Below are 17,323 nucleotides of genomic sequence, written 5' to 3'. Positions count from 1 at the left end.
AAAGACGGATGTTTGGATCTTTTCCATCATTCCTGGTCCTCCTTTTATGAACCCCAAAGAGCTCAGTGTTGTGTCACATAGGATTTGAAAGAATCAGAAGACCCAGGCTTGAGAGCCAGCCTGACCCTCAGTTTTCCCGTCTGTAAATGGAGATAACAGCTCCTTCCTCACCTGAGGGTTGTCAGGATGCTAATGAACCTGCAGGTGTTTGAAGTGTGAGTTACTGACTTTACTTCGCCTGCAAACAGGCCTTTCCCATTAAAGCTAATGCTTCCATTCCGGTGCTATCCCACTGAGCAGACTGGGATAGGTCCTGGCCCTCCCCCAGCTGGAACTGAGAGCCCTTTCCTGGCAGGCCTGGGGCTGTGAGAGGAGCCTATGAGCACACTCCGGAAAAGGATGCTCGTGCTTTCTCCAGTGGACAGTAATCCCTCACAGTCCCTTGCCTTCCTCCAGAGCCCAAGGTTTATTTTTAGAAACACAATTTTTTCTCCCTTTTCTTTTTCCTTCCAGGGTCCGATAGTGCAAAGATGGCTCCCGTAAGAGGCCCCTGTGCAAGCTGAGCCTGTGGCACTGTGGAAAGACTCCACACTTTGAAGTTAGACAGCACTGTGTCCAAATGCCAATGCCGCTAATAAGTGCATGACCCTCACTCGCCTGCTTGGACCCTCGGTTTTCTTATCGCAAAATGCAATGAGTAAAATAGTACCTGCCTATTGAAGGATTGATTGAAGAATTAAATGGGTTAAGGTCCTTTGCACTTTGCTGCTCCAAGCATGTCCTGGGACCAGCAGCATAGGCAACACCTTTTAGAAATGCAGGAACTCAGGCCCACCCCAGACCTACTGAATCAGAATCTGCTTTTTAACAAGTCCCCAGGTATGTATTAGAGTGTGGGCAGCATTGCCTTGGCACCCTGCCCAGCAGGTAATAGGTGTCAAATAAATACTATTATTGTTATTATATGGGTCCAATCCTCAAGTTGTTTACAGATAACTAATATGAGCACACAGATCATTAATGCAGGGCTAGTGGCATTTTGGGAAGGTAAGCAAATCGTCTGGGAGTAGAGATGGGAGAATGATTCCAACATTTGGGGGACTCAGCTAAAGCTTTTGACCTCAGCTTTGCCTATTGTTTTTGTTTGTTTTGGTTTGGTTTTGCTTTAATAATGTTCCGTCTTTTTAAATAAGTGTTTAACCTTTATTCTACACTAACTGTTCTAAGCTCTGTTCTGGGCCCTGTAGAGAGAAAGCTGAATGAAGCCATGTTTCCTTTGAAGTAGTTTACTGTCTAATCAGAGACACATAAACCAATAAACCAACAATCTCAAACTTTTTTTTTTTTTTTTTGAGACAGAGTCTCGCTCTGTCGCCCAGGCTGGAGTGAAGTGGCGCAATCTTGGCTCACTGCAGCCTCAGCCTCCCGAGTTCAAGCGATTCTCCTGCCTCAGCTTCCTGAGTAGCTGGGATTACAGGTGCCTGTCACCATGCCCAGGTAATTTTTGTATTTTTCATAGAGACAGGGTTTCACCATGTTGGCCAGGCTGGTCTTGAACTCCTGACCTCGTGATCCATCCGCCTCCGCCTCCCAAAGTGCTGAGATTACAGGCGTGAGCCACTGCGCCCAGTGAAAATTTTTTTTTAAAAAGTGTTATGATACAGAGATGGAAGCCAACAGGCCATGGAATAATGAATGGCTGGGGAGCTCACAGGACAAGATTGCCCCTCGGCCTTCCATCCCAGGGCAGACAACAATGCTTTGAACATTTTGCTATTTCCTATCATACCTCCTTTATCTTCTCTCTCCTTTTTCTCCCTCTCTCTCTCTCCCCACCTCCCCCACCTCTCTCTTTCTCTCTCCCTCACTCCCTGTCTCTCTCTCTCAGTGTTTTCACATAGTTGGGTCATATTATATAAATCTGCACATTGCCTTTTTGGCTAACATTATTACGTAAGTATTGCCCTATATGTAACTGACATGGTGAACAAATAGGACTCATAGGATGTGGTGCTTTTATTTTTGTCTCATAATAGCCTTTAAAATACATCGGGAAAAATTGTTCCTCCTCTGCCTCTAGATGAAAATTATGACAGTTCTCATGAATCTTCCGTTCACACGTATGTGATTTAAAAAAAAAAAAAAGCCCTGCCTTCTTTTTAAATCAAAGATGTAGTCTCAATTCAAGTATTAAAAGTCCCATGGAATAATCAGAGCTCCAATTTTCATTCAAAGGGTCAGCTACTTCCCCTCCCCATAGCTAGGGGACTGCTGCAAGCCAGAAGCTTTCTTTGCAGGGGAGTAGGTTGAGGAAAGGTATGATCCTTCTTCCCTCCTTCTCCACCTGATACTTCCACACTTCCTCACCCTTCTTACTAACTGTGCCTCCTCGCTCCCCAGGGATGGGGAGAGAGGAAAGAGAGGTAAAATGAGACAGGCAGGTAAGTTCTTAATGGACTGGTACTGTCATAAGACAGCTTTATCACACTCTCAGCTCAGCTGTGTTTAAAGCTCAGTCTGTGAGCTCTAAGCCCCACACCTGCAGTTCCTTTGACGCGCTGCTCCTGCAGCCCCAAGGAACCCAAACACTCGCCTCTCGCCTCTTTCTACAGAGTCTGTTTCTCCCTCTACCTCTCACACTAGCTCCCTCTCACACGTGGCCCACGCTCAATCCATGGGAAATACTCGGGCATTCTTTGTTCCAACAAACTCTGGGAATGTAGTTATTTTATAACGGAGGCAAAGGGTCCAGTAGCTATCAGACACCAAGGTAAATTGTAAGGCGGAACACCCTGGAGGTCTTCGTGGTTATAAATTTAATGAGTAGGCGTATGTGTGCCTCCCAATGTGTATTCTCCTTTTCTTCCATGGTTACGGTACCCAAATGTTTAGTTGGGAACACTGTTGTGGTTATGTTTTACCACTGAAATATAAACAAAGTGTTGTATGAGGAATTCTAAGATGTCTCCTTAAAGTGACAGCATACATACATCATCCTGTTGCTTGAAATGTGGATGTGATGGATGGCTGGTTCTCCAGCACCCATCCTGAGCCACGAAGACTGAGCCTCACTCTAAGGATGGGGAGTGGAAAGCTGGAAAGAGGCTGACTATTGAGCCATCTCACCAGGTGTGGACTGCCTCCCTCTAGACTTCACTTATTCAGAGAAATAAGTTTCAATCTGGCTTAAATCACTATTTTAGGTATTTCTTAGCTAAGCCTAGTCCTGACAGACTATGTAGTAATCCATTATATGGCTATTGTTTACTTGATCATAATTCTAACGTTATTCTTCAAGATGGTTTCCAATTTTTACTATTAGGAATAACACTGTGATGAACTGTTATCCATTCCATATTCCTGGTTTGTGGGGCTTTCTTTCTTGTGCTTTTTTTTTTTTTTTTTTTTTTGAGACAGAGTCTCGCTATGTTGCCGAGGCTGGAGTGCAGTGGTGAGATCTCAGCTCACCACAACCTCCAGCTCCCGAATTCAAGCAATTCTCCTGCCTCAGCCTCCCAAGTAGCTGGGTTATAGGTACCTGCCACCACGCCTGGCTAATTTTTTTGTATTTTTAGTAGAGATGAGGTTCTGCCATGTTGGCGAGACTGGTTTTGAACTCCTAACCTCAAGTGATCCTCCTGCCTCGGCCTCCCAAAGTGTTAGGATTACAGGCATGAGCCACCACGCCCAGTCCCTGGTTATTTTCTAAGTTGGAAAATAAAGCTCTTCTTGTAGATATAGCTTCATGTTGCTTTCCTAAAGTTATACTCTTTTATGTTTCCAGATGCAGCAGGGTGTAGGTCCCATCATTCACATTTTAAACCTGCATGTGGACTTTAGAACACAACCCACTGTATTTGGCAGCTTTTGTTTCCATAATGCTGCATAACAAACACCCCAAAACTCAATAGCTTTTGACAACAAGAATTTATTCTCACAATTACAGATCTGCAAATCAATGATGGTTCAGTCAATTCAGGCTAGGCTTGGCTGGGAAGCTCCACTTCAGCCTGCTGGACAGCTAAGTGTAGCGGCAAACTGTGGTCAAGTCTGCTCCACATATTTTTATTCCAGGGCCCAGGCTGAAGGGGCAGCAGCTACCCAAGAGCATGCTCTTCTTGTGGTGGATCAATCACTGGAGCCCAAGAGCCAATCTCTTGGGCTTGGCTGGAAGATTCCCTAAAGTCTCTCAGCCCCTGATAAGGTGATATAAATGATCCAGGGCCTGACAGTGATGCTATTCAGAGAAGCCTCGACAGCAAATTCCACTTGCAAAGGCAGGAAGCAAGTGGCAAGTTCTTCCCTAGATATTTTCAAAGAATAGAGTGTGTTAATTTGTCTAATTAAGCAAGATTTGGGTTCTAGAAGCAATGATGATTAAGCAGCTATATCTTTGCTAGTTGTTTTCGGAAATATCATATCAATCCTCAAAACAAACAGATCTGTCGACAAGCATTAAGGTTACAGAGGCTTAAAACTGAAATAGAGACAAGAAGAAATAGTTTAGAATTCCCCACCCACCCCCTAGTCAGTGGTAAGGACCTGATGTTTGTCACATAGGAAGAAGGGTTTCAGTGTGTCCCAACCTGTGGGCAAGCAGAGGGCAGAGGTTAAGGCCAGTGGCCCTCACATCAGACTTCCTGGACTCAAATCCTAAGTTTGCCATTTTTTTCTTTTTTTCTTTGAGATGGAGTCTTGCTCAGCTGCCCAGGCTGGAGTGCAGTGGTGCAATCTTGGCTCACTGCGACCACCGTCTCCCAGGTTCAAGTGATTCTCCCGTCTCAGCCTCCCGAGTCGCTGGGATTACAGGCACCCGCCATAACGCCCAGCTAATTTTTGTATTTTAGTAGAGATGGGGTTTCACCATGTTGGCCAGGCTAGTCTTGAACTCCTCCCTCAGCCTCCCAAAGTGCTAGGATTACAGGCGTGAGCCCTCGCACCCAGCAAATTGCCATTTTCTAATTGTACAAGGTATTTATTTTTTCTGTGGCTCAGTTTCCCCATTGATAAAAAGAGGCCATGATAGCATATATTTCATAAGGCTATTGACAAGGTTTAGTGAAATAATGCACCTAAATTTCTTAAAACAGCACCAGGCACAGACAAAGTGCTTAATAAATGTTAGTGTTATGCCAGGGCAGCAACATTTAACTTCCATCAAAACTCAGATTGACCAAGAGCATGTGGCCCCTTTGTTCTGTCTACAACTTTTTTCCTACTAACTAGTAGATTTTCTGTATTTTTTTCCAACGTTTATGAATTTCAAAGAAGGAAGTATAGAATAGTGTTTTAGTTTACATTCGAGTGGATAATTAATGAGGTTAATTCTTTTCTCATATATTCACCAGTTAGAATATTTTTAGAAGCATTTCAGTATGTCTAATCTTTGTCTTCTAACGGATTTGAATTTTGGAAATAGCCAAAAGCCATTCAAAAGGACAAACTGATTGTTTTAATATCTAATAAAGTTTGAACCTTCGTATTACACGATAATTTAAATGGTCCCTTCAAAGAATGGTCCCCTCTGAGGGGAAATAAAGGCTTAGTTTCTCAAACACATCAGTCTTCTAGCTCCCCTCCAAGATGACATCTGCATATGAAGAGGGACAGGTGGAGCTTGAACACCTTCGCGGCAGGCAAAAGGTCAGATTCCTCTTACTCTTCTAGGCAGGGTTAGGTGGAAGTCCCTGATCCACCTGCGTGCATCTTACCCTACTGGGATTCACAGCTGAAGTCTGTGTCTGTACAAGAGTAACTTACAGCCTAGGTTTTCCTCAGCAGATCAGAGCCCAGGGGACTGCCTTGCTAGCTCTCGCTCTCTGCAGCTTTTTGGACTCATCTATTGGGTCTAGACTCCTTCCCATTTGCTGTGACTCCAATTGGCCTGGCCCAGGTGGTCCACTGGGCAGCCCTTGCTACGGAGTACCTTGACCTTGCCCAGCCATGGTGACTCCCATTGGTAATACTCCCCAGCCAAACTCCCACCATTTTCTGGGTCCATCTGTGCCTCACTGGAAATAAGAATGGCTCAGGAAAACTAAGTGTCAAGGACTCCCTCTGCCAGGTCATACCACACTGCCATGTGGATGTGGTCACACCCCAGGATGACAGTCTATTCTGCAGAGTCTCAAGCAGGAAGAAGGACAAAAGCTTCCTCTGCCCTTGGTGATATCCCCACTCATCCAATAGGCCTCCCTATTTTCTGGGCCAAAGCTGGGAGAATACATGATCAAAACTGATTCTCTCATCTTCTTCTTCCTCTTTCTCTCTCTTTCTCTCTATCACAAAGGGCCCCAAAATGACAGATTTCCCCTGCATCATGCCCTCCATACTTCAGTTTCTTAGAGATACCCTAATAAAGGATATGGGTATTTTCTCTGCACTTAGGGAGAACTCCATAAACTGGTTCAATCAGGCTGCATTGTTGAAAAGCCAAAGGGAAGGATTAAAGAAATTTGGAAATGGTTTTTCAAGACAACGCCTGGCTTGCAAGGTTATTGTCTTGCTGAATAATTCTATTTGACATGCCAAAAGAGAAATATTAACTTGTTCTTTCTTTTTGCATTCCTTCTGTTATAAATCATAGTCTTCTTCCAGGATGATGGATGCCTCAAGACACCTAGAGCAAAGGTCAAGAAAGGAAGGAAGCAAAATAGAAAAGCACATTAATAGTTTTCAAAACATTACCTCCATTAAGCCATTATGATTGGCTGCAATTATAATTGTCCTTTCCTTTTTTTCTCCTAATTGGGCTTAGAGCTTCTCAACTATATGTTATGTATAAGAATTAGTGTGAACATTGTGGGCCTTGTTGGAATCCTCATTCCAACAGACCAACTGTAAAAAGACTTTTTAGGCAATAAAGGAAACTTGGTATTAGATGACATCAATAAATTGTTAATTTTGTTAAATGTGACAATGATACTATGCTTAGGTTAAAACCCTTCAGTTTTTTAAAAGTAGACTTAAATATTTAGGGCATAATGACGTGATGGCTACAATTTGCTTTAAAATATTACAAGAAAATAAAAGCTGGGGAAGCTAGTTGATGGATGAAACAAGTGTGGCAAAATGCTGATGGTTGTAGAAATGGAATGAAGGCCACAGAAGAATTTTATCATACACAATTTATTTATCAGCTGGGTATGGTGGCTCTTGCTTGTAATCCCAACACTTTAGGAGGATGAGGTGGGAGGATCATTTGAGCCCAGGAATTCCAGACCTGCCTCGACAACATAGCAATATCTTATCTCTACAAAAAATAAAAATAAAAATTAGCCAAGTGTAGGGGCAGGGGCCTGTGGTCCCAGCTACTTAGGAGGCTGAGGCAAGAGGATCACTTGAGCCCAGGAGTCAGAGGCTGCAATTAGCTATGGTCCCTTGATTTTTTCCTAGGCTTTACAAACAACCTCTAAAGACCCTGTTCCAGGCGAAGCTGAAAGTTTCCCTCAGCTAACAATGCTGATTCATTAAAATAAATAAACAGCCTCTCAAATTTCACAGACATTATACGCCTTTGGATGATACTAACAATGTTGATGATGACAGCTGTAATGTATTTTATACTAACTATGTGCCAAATTTTCCAGAAAAGTGTCCCTTGCTGCACAGAATGAACATCCAAATTCAGTCTATTGCAAAAATACAGCCCAGGGCAGACTGCAGGAAGTATAAAAATTCGTTGCAGTGTTCTGTTTTATCTTTTAAGTGAATATGATTTTTTGTACTCTGTTCCATATAGTAGTACTTGCTAACATTTATTGAGTACCTAAAACAGATGCTATTCTAAGCTTTTTACATGTATTAATTATTTAATCTTCATAGCATGCCTATGAAACTGGTGCTATTATTCCATCCATTCTGCAGGTGAGAAAACTGAGGCGCAAAGAGCTTAAGTAACTTACCTAAAGTTCAAGTAACTTACCTGAAAGATAAAGTGCCAAACCAGCAAGTATCAGAGCCAGAATTTGGACCTAGACAGTCTGGCTCCAGAAGCTGTTTCCTTAACCACTGTGATATATTTCCTCCATAATGTCCTTATGCTCTCTTTGAATTAATAAAATCAATGATATCTTCAAATTCACTGTGCATTCATAGTTTAGAACATCATTATCCATCCTGTGCCTTCTCTGGAGGTTGACAAGTGTAACCGTGGAATCAAAGTTACAACTACTCTGAGTTGGAGAAGCACAAACATGTACTATTATCTTCGGTCCTCACAATAACAGAGCAAAGTCAGTAATATTGTCATGTTTTAGAGCTTTACAAAATGAGAGGTGACTCCTTTCACTGGGACAGGCTCTTCTTTGAGTTTTTATAAAAACTGGTAAAATCAAAAAGGAAAGGAGGTTGGGCAAAGTCTGAACAAGCAATCAAAATTTCCTTCCACTGTCCCCTTTGGTCTTTACTGATGGCAAACCTACAACAGGCTGCTTCTCAGGCCTAAGCCAAACTTCCAACATACACTCACACACACACACACAAACACACACACTCAGCTTAGAGAGGCTGGAGCTACGAGCAAGTCCAGTCACGTTCCATGGGAGCCAGCACAACTTCTACAGCAGATGGTAATAAATGCACAGCTATGGATACATGGTCCATGGATACATGGAGGAGCCAAGAGCCCCCAATAAATTCACTCTGTCCCAGATTGTCTCTCCAGTCTCTAACAATACCTTTCAGCATTGAGAGACCACAATAGACCTTCCAAGGTCAAATTAGAAAATTCACAGAAAACATTTTTCCAATAAGCATTTAAGAGGCAGCATGAAGTAGTGGGGAGTGTACCCCCTGTAAGGCCAGTCAGACCTGATTTGATTCCCAGCTCCTGTGCTCTCAAATTCTGTGGCCATGGGCAAATTATGCGGCTCCTGTCACCAAGCCTCCATTTCCTTTGACTTGCATAATCGTCAAAGTAACAGATACCGCACAAGGTTGTTATAGAACTAAATGAGATAGCATATGTGAAGGTACTAGCCTTGTTCTTGGGAAATCATAAGAACTTAATAAATAACAAACAGAATTAATTTGAGTTGCATGATAGTATGTATATTATACACATACACATTCACATACACTTGTATATGCATGGACTATTTCAGGAAACTAGTCTCCTGAGAAGAAGGACTAGATAAGTTTCTAGGGTCAGACGGAAATGTCGTTTTCACTCTATACCTTTCTATACTGGTTGAATGTTTCCAATATGGATATATCCCCTTCTCAAAAATATTTGTAATGTCTGTTGTTGTTGTTTGCTTCCCAGGAGGCTTTTGGAAGACCAGACTTTGTTATCTGCAGCCTGGTTTCTTCACCCTCTTTTGCCCATCACATTCATTGAAGGCCCGACTGTAGGATCAGACTCCACCTACCTTGAATGTATAACCATCAGCGCACAAAATAATAGGTGAGATACATCATAAAAGTTGACATGCTAAGCCTACTTAGCATGCTTATAAGTGGCCAGCCAAGCTAGGGTGACAGAGTCGGGAACTGTAGAGTTGTTCCTTGTCCTTTGAACCTTGGTAGTGTGGTTCCAACTCATGCAATTAACCAGTAGGCCACAGTGCTTCTAGACATGCTATCATGCTTCTCACCAATTATTAGTTACCGTCCATAGCCCATCAGCTGGAGCCCCTGACTCTCACTCCTGCTCCCAGAGGGCCTGGGGGCTGTCTTCCTTCCCCTGCTCCCTCCTTTCCACCCTAGCCTGAACCACTAGCAAAGTGCAACCCATGTTCCTCCTGGAAGCTCACTCCACTGCCAGATGCTGGTTTGCCCCAAGCCCATTGCAGCTGATCCAGATGCCATCCCCCACCCCCAAAGTTTCCAGAATCAAGACCAATACTATTACATCCCCTGGTACCCTCAGCTAAAATAATATCCCCAGACCCCAGCAGGCTGGCGGCACAAATGAGGTCACATTAATAATTCAGATGTTACTGGTTCAGAGCCCTCACATGCTGATGAAGGAATTTGGCCTTCCTCAAAGTCTCGCCTGGTTTTTCTGAGACATCTCACAAACACTAGGTTCTGTGCTACCCTCAGTGATATCCTCAGCTTACAGGCTTCTCGAGGAGGGCTCCTCCCGGCTGCCATCCCCATTGTGAGAACAGCGCTTCCCTCCCACAGCTCCCTGGGCATCACACACCAAACTCACTAAACTCTGTTCAGTCCTCACTGCAGCCCTCCGGTCATTCCGTATTCCATGGATAACTGGGGAAGGGGCCTTCACCCCCAGAGCTGTATTTTACCTGGTCGGCTGAGCTCCAAAAAAGCCCTACTTAGAACCCAAATTTCACCAAGGGCTTTGTAAAAAACACATCTTTAGCATCTTTAGCAGTTTTCATCAACTTCTCCCTCCCACGCTCTCTTCCTCCCTCATCTCATCTCCCATGAATAAAACCTCCACAGCAGCTCCCTTACCCCACAAACACATCAGGAACCAGGAGCCAGTGGCTCAGCAGTCCTGATTATGTTCTCAGGCTCTGTTGGACTCAGCTAGATCCATCTATGATAATAGGTGTTTGATAAATAGAAGTGATTTTTCAGTGTCAGACTCCAAGCAGGATAATTTTCAGATAACATGTCATGTAACACCCATCTGCAAATTAGTCAACACTATCCCTGCTTACATACAAAGAAGCTGGGGCACAGAGAAATTTGAGGATAAACCCAAAGTCACATGGTCGGAAAGTAAAGCACGGAGATTCAGGCCCAATTTTTTCTTCTCGCAATTCAAAACCCATGCCCCTTCCAGCGTACCTCTCCTATCCATCCCAAGGGTGTCTCCTCAGCCCCCATTCTGTGTCCTGAACCCAGGGTGGAGCTGGGATGGGCAGGGAGTAGCAAAACTCAGGCCAGACTGGGAGGCTGCATTTACAGCATCCTCCCAGCCTGGCCTGAGTTTCTATCTGATGTTTCAGTCCCAATTGTCACACAGAATTGTCCTTGCAACTGTGAGAAATTGGGGAGTAGGGGGTAGTGGGAGGGCACACTTCTTGAATTAGTTTCTTGAGAAATTCAAAATAGTCCCTCTCCCTAGAGACTGAGTTAGCCTTTGCATTTCAAGACTCCAAGGGATTCCAGAGAAGGCACTTGTCCCTTTAGGGGATGCAGAGTAAGATTTTGATGTGCAAGGTTTATTTTAGTCAAGGAGAGGAAAGGGAAGCGGGAAGCTAGAGAGTCATATGAAACCTAATAAGGATGGATTTCTTTGTGTGGGGAGAATATTCTGGACTCTTGCCATCTCCTGCAGCACCAGATAGGCATCCCTATCAAGTAGCTTTTGTCGGTGTAAGGAAGTGAAAGCAGAAATAGCCGCTCTCTAACCCAGGACTGCAAGTCTGAAGGCGCACCCAGGGTATCAGCAGAGTCGGCCTTGCAGGAAGGCTGAGCTTGAATTTGTTCGATCATCCAACATTGGTGGCACATGTACTGGGCATTTTGATATTGTCATGAATGGTATTACCATAATCATATCACCATACAGGACATGATTACCCCAACTTCAAAAATTTTTTAAAAAAAAACAGAGCTTTGGAAAGATAAAGTGCCAAGGACACACAGTCATTCAATGTCAAAATCGTGGTCCCAACCAGTTCTTTCTGGCCCTAATCCAGCATCTCTCCACCACCTAGGGCCCCGCTCTCAGGGAGTCTCATTCTAGAGGAGACTCAGACCCATAAATGGAAATGTGTCATACCATGTGATAAGTAGGACAATGAAGCAGAGAGGTTCAGAGCATGGACTTTAAACCTGGACAGACCTAGAGGTACTACGCAGCTCTGCAACCTGCTAGCTGTGTGGTGCATTATTTAAACTCTCTAAGTTTTCTGATCTGTAACATGCAAATATCAAGTCCTACTTAATTCATAAGGTTAGGTGAGAATTAAAATATGAAAATCACTTAGCCCAGTGCCTGCATAGAGTAGCAGCTCAATAAGTGAGAGCTGCTGTATCACCGTTGAAATGGCCACGTGCAGAGGGAGGGTATAAGAGAGACTTTCTGAACCCAAAGCCAGACCCAGCAGGAAGCATTTCTGTGCAGCTGGAGTCCCAGTGGGAAGGACATCCCCCATGCAGGAGTGAGTGGAGGTATATAAACACATGAGGCAAAAGGTAGCTGCAGCTCTATCTTTCACCTGCAGAGAGCCTACGCCTAACCAGGGGCTCAGAGCTAAGTAGTAGGAAGGATGGAGTGAGGTTTCCCATCAAGGAGACCTTCTCAATGTACTCTCACACCCAGGTCCATCAGGGTTTGGTGCTCCTTCCCTCCATTCCTAGCTATGTGGTCTTGGGAGGGAGCTTAGCCTCTCTGAGACTCGTTTCCTCATCTTTAAATTGTGAAAGGTAATGTCTATCTCATTATTAAAAGAAATCATGTGTACAAACCACCTAGCAGAGTGCCACACAGGAAGTGCTGGAGAGACAGCAAGTATGTTCGCTTCCCCACTTCACGTCCTCTAAGCAAGCTAAGAAAGTAGAAAGTCTTTCAACGGCCTCCATGACTTTGTGTGCACATGCCCACACACACACACACACATGCACACACATGCATGCACAGAGAAAGAGAAGAAAGAATAGGGTTTAAAACTATCTCAGCAAATGTTTAAGTTCTGCAAGGCACTGGAAAAATTACAGCTCTGAAAAGGGTATCTGCTTAAAACCAGACCAGGTCTATCTCCCGTCTCACAGCCAGCACTGTGAGAAGCATTGCTATGCAAAACCTCTGCATGGCCTCCTACCCCCATCCAAGCCCCAACTCAGCCCCACCAAAAGAAAATTTCTCCTCGGGGCCTTGGACTGTCTAGTTTGGAGAGCTCTGAAAAAAAAAATGCTTCCGCCTTGGCCAGTTAAAGCACTTCCTATGCAAGTTTCCTTTCTAATCTCTGGGAGAGTCTGAGTTCCACAGCAGTCATGCTTTGGTGAGAGCCTAAGTAGAGAAGGAGGTCAAGAAGAGGGTTCAGGGTATCAGATAAAAGGGGCAACTGGGGTCAACTTAATCGGTCAGGAACCATCTAGCAGCTTGAATAAAAGCCTTCCCACACTTACCTAACATCAAGCGATGGGGTAGCTTCCTTTCTCTTCCTTGTGGGTTATAGGGACCAGTAAGAGTGGGCTTGTGGCCAGGTGCAGTGGCTCACGCCTGTAATTCCAGCACTTTGGGAGGCCAAGGTGGGCAGATAACCTGAGGTCAGGAGATCGAGACCATCCTGGCCAACATGGTGAAACCCCATCTCTTCTAAAAATGCAAAAATTAGCTGGGTATGGTGGCGCATGCCTGTAATCCCAGCTACTCAGGAGGCTGAGGCACAAGAATCACTTGAACCCAGGAGGCAGAGGTTGCAGTGAGCCGAGATCACACCACTGCACTCCAGCCTGGCGACAAAGCAAGCCTCCGTCTCAAAAAAAAAAAAAAAAAGAGTGGGTTTTTGTTGCCCTGGCATGTTCCCACCTATTGCCCTTGAGCTAGTCACTATGGTCCCTGCCTTACAGATGAAGATACTCAGTTCAGAAGGGAAATCACTTGCCCCTGACTACATAAATAGTGAGAAACATGCCATCATAGACTCAAATCTCCTGATTCCTAATCCAGGACTCTTGTATAAGAGTGTTTCCTTTATAATGTTATAAAAATATCACAGGGCCTGGCATAAATTAAGAGCTAAGTAAAATGTAGCTAAGGACTGTTAACTATCGTATTTACTGGGGACAACAATTCAGGGAAGAAATTATTATTATCTCCATTTGTGGATGAGGAAACTGAGGCCCAGAGGGCCAGGGGTGAGCAAACTGGCCCATGGCCTGTTTTATAAATAAAGTTTTATTGGAACACAGCAATGTTCATTCATTGACATGCTGTTGATGGCTGCTTTTGCACTACAACAGCAGAGGTGTGCAATTGCAACAGAGAATGCATGCCTAAATAGCCTCAAGTTTTGGAGATAGAGTCTTTATAGAGGTAATTAAATTAAAATAAGGTCATCAGCATGGACCCTAATCCAATACAACCAATGACCTTATAAGAAAGGGGGAATTAGAGAACATACACATACAGAAAATGTGAAGACACAGGGAGAAGATTAGCCACCTACAAGCCAAGGAGAAAGGCCTCAGAAGGAATCAACCTTATTAACATCTTGATCTTGGACTTCCAGCCTCCGGAACTGGGCAGAGATAAATTTCTGACGTTTAAGCCACCCAGTCTACAGGACTTGATTACAGCAGCCCTAGCAAACTCGTACCATTACCTATTCAATGCCAGACACTGGTTCTAGATGTTAGGGAGAGAACGGGGCCTTATTAGGTATTAATATCATTATCTAAGCATTTGGCTTGTTTGAAGACATTAAATCCTCAAAGGATGCCTATTAGCTAAGTACTCTTTTATTTCACATTTTACAGATGAGGCATTTGAAGCCCAGAGATCACACAGCTAAAAAGCGAGGAATAAGGCACCACTCAGCTTCCAGGAAGTTTGGGTATACCGGACAGCAAATGAATATCCAGCAGGGAACTGTTAGAGGCCACTGGCAACAGCCGCTGCCCCCTTGACTGGCTTAATGAAGACTTGGCATGCAGCAGAAGAGCCAGCAAACAGGACTGACGAGATGTGCCTGTGCTTGAGCCATCACCAACAACACCCAGCCATGCCCTCCCCATGCTGGTTTTGATGACATAAGGCCCACTGAACTTTGAATGACTAGCTCACCTGGAAAGGCTCTGGCTGCCTCTGAGTGTCATTGTCACCCTATTGCCCATTTCCTGACTCTGTTCCCTTCTCTAGCCCTGCAAGGCACTCAGGCTTCTAGAGGATCTAGTGAGATCACCTCGTGATATGGTAGGATTTGTGTCCCCACCCAAATCTCATCTTGAAATGTAATCCCCATAGTCCCCATGGGTCAAGGGAGAGACCAGGTGGAGGTAATTGAACCGAGGGGGCAGTTTCCCCCATGGTGTTCTCATGATAGTGAGTGAGTTCTCCCAAGACCTGATGGTTTTATAAGGGGCTCTTCCACCTTCACTCAGCACTTCTCCTTGTGAAGAAGGTGCCTTGCTTCCCCTTTGCCTTCCGCCATGATTGTAAGTGTCCTGAGGCCTCCCCAGCCATGCTGAACTGTGAGTCAATTAAACCTCTTTCCTTTATAAATAACCCAGTCTCCGGCAGTTCTTTATAGAAGTATGAAAACGGACTAATACACTTGGAAATGTTACCCGCCCAGTGGCAGGCACAGAGGGGACTCTGAACACATAATTTCCTATTTCCTTCTTCCTCACTTCCCATGCAATCCTTTCTAGTAATGCTCAGAAAAAAAGAGCCAGGTGAAAACCCCAACGCACTCAGACGACAGACATCAGGGTCATGAAGCATTTAATCCTTCAACAAATACTTACTGAGCACCTACTGTGCTGGAGATAGAGCAGTGAACAAGACAGACGTGGCTCCTACCCTCCTGGGACTCACAATCTAATTGGAGAGAGAAGGTTGAATGAGTAATTACAGATGTAATGAGTATTATCCAACAGGAAGCTTAAAGGGCAAGTGAGTTTACAAGCGAGGCCTTGCCCTAGCTAGGGGTGAGGGATAACAAAGAAGGACTTCTCCAACACAATGTCATTTAAGTGGAAGGAGGAGTAAAGACTGGCTAGCAAAAGGAGGGAGGAATCTGCAAAGTGTGCCGTGCCCATGTTCCTACCAACAAATGACAGGGTGACTTCGGACGGCTTCCTTCCTTCCCCTCTCTGGGCCTCTATTTTCCCACTCACACAATATATGGGTGGCCTGAGTCCTGTTAAATTTCCTTCAAGCTCTAAAAGCCTATGGCATCTTTGACATCTAATTCAGGCAAGAGAAAAATTGCTCCCACCTCTCTTTCATATCCTAGAAAAATACACATTACATTATTCAAAATTTAAACTGGGAGTATCTCTGTCCTTGGTGAGACTCTGAGCTCCCTGAGTTCAGGGATGCAGTCTTATCTCATGTATCTGCCTCCATCGCCCAGTACAGAGCCCAGCACAAAGCAGCGACTTAGGGAGAGGGTGCTGAGTGGAATTTGATTGAAGGGAAATTGGAACTGAGGTGTGGCAGCTACCGCCAGTACCCTACACCTACACAAACACACATGCACACATGCACTCACGCATGTGCACATGTGCACACGTTTCTGCTTCCTCAACGAAATGCTTTCCCCACATTCTTCCAATCGTTTTTGGCACCTGTCCCAACCACCTACCTCTGTACCACCTGCTTATGGACCTAAAAGCCTCGAACAGTTAATTCCCTGCTCCCAGACCTGGAGAGGTACTCACTCCCCAGATGAGGCACTTTCAAAAGCTGCTGGGGCATCAGATGCGCACCCAGCAAGGTGCAGGCTCTGTGGCTAGCCAGGGACAGCTTGCTCAGTGAGTTCACATTCCCAGCAGGGTATAATGAGGGGGTATGAGGAGGGCAGGGATAGCCAGCTTAACTTGAGCAAGACCCCTCCTCACACAGGCTAGCTGTGTGACCCAACAGAGGAGGAGGGGGGTTTCTCCCACTTCAATCCATTTGGCCTATATTTTTTAGAGAGTTTGATTTGCACAATGCAAAGTTAGAGGCATTAGAAGACACCATAACGGGAATCCTGAAAAAATAAAATGACAATTAGTAAGCCCTCATTTCCATGTTTTCCCACGAAGTTGTAAGCACAGCCCTATGGGGGGAGTGGATTACCATCCCCATGGTCACAGATAAGGAAGAGGAATTGGCATCTATGGAGCACCAGTCAGTGCTATGCTAAGAAGTTTGTAGTTATCATTTTATTTTACATTTACTCTTTAGCCCAAACTGCCAAGTGGAGATTATTAACCCCACATTAGAGATAAAGAAATTGAGGCTGAGAGAAGGCAAATAACTTGCCCAAGATCCTGAGAAATAACTAATCCTAATCCCCAAACTGGGATTAATTCCAAAGTCCCATGCCCTTCATCCACTCATTTGTTTAAAATATAGTACTTAGCACATAATAGATGTTTATGCCCTATTCCACCCATGGGTTTCATGACCCTGGAAAGATCCAGATGCCAAAAGGACCTGCCTGGACCAGGGAGAAAGATAAATCCCAAATTGGAAATGAGATTGTAGTTTTAAAGGACTAACTGGCCAGAAAATGCTCAGATCTGCCGTAAAGGTGTATTCCATTGAGCACATGTGAAGGTAATGATTCAAGAAAAAATAAAATTGTTTCATGCTTATATCTCACCAAGACCAACCTATTCAATGTGCCAATTGCAATAGCATGAGGCCCGTTATAACAAGAGGGGCAGGGGCTTCTGGGAG

The 17,323-nt window shown here is 44.4% G+C and overlaps 1 annotated feature.

The window, feature by feature from the left end:
• Positions 5,310 to 5,842: an enhancer, noted in NCBI's record as "OCT4-NANOG hESC enhancer chr1:55789428-55789960 (GRCh37/hg19 assembly coordinates)". NCBI's record gives its function as "activates a minimal SCP1, AML or CMV promoter by ChIP-STARR-seq in naive H9 embryonic stem cells {active_cell/tissue: H9 hESC(naive)}" and the evidence as "EXISTENCE:reporter gene assay evidence [ECO:0000049][PMID:30033119]".

Source organism: Homo sapiens, chromosome 1, assembly GCF_000001405.40.
Source record: "Homo sapiens chromosome 1, GRCh38.p14 Primary Assembly".
In the NCBI taxonomy this organism is placed as follows: Eukaryota; Metazoa; Chordata; class Mammalia; order Primates; family Hominidae; genus Homo; species Homo sapiens.
The sequence above is the reverse complement of the archived record's forward strand: the minus strand, read 5'-3'. Positions and strand labels throughout refer to the sequence as shown.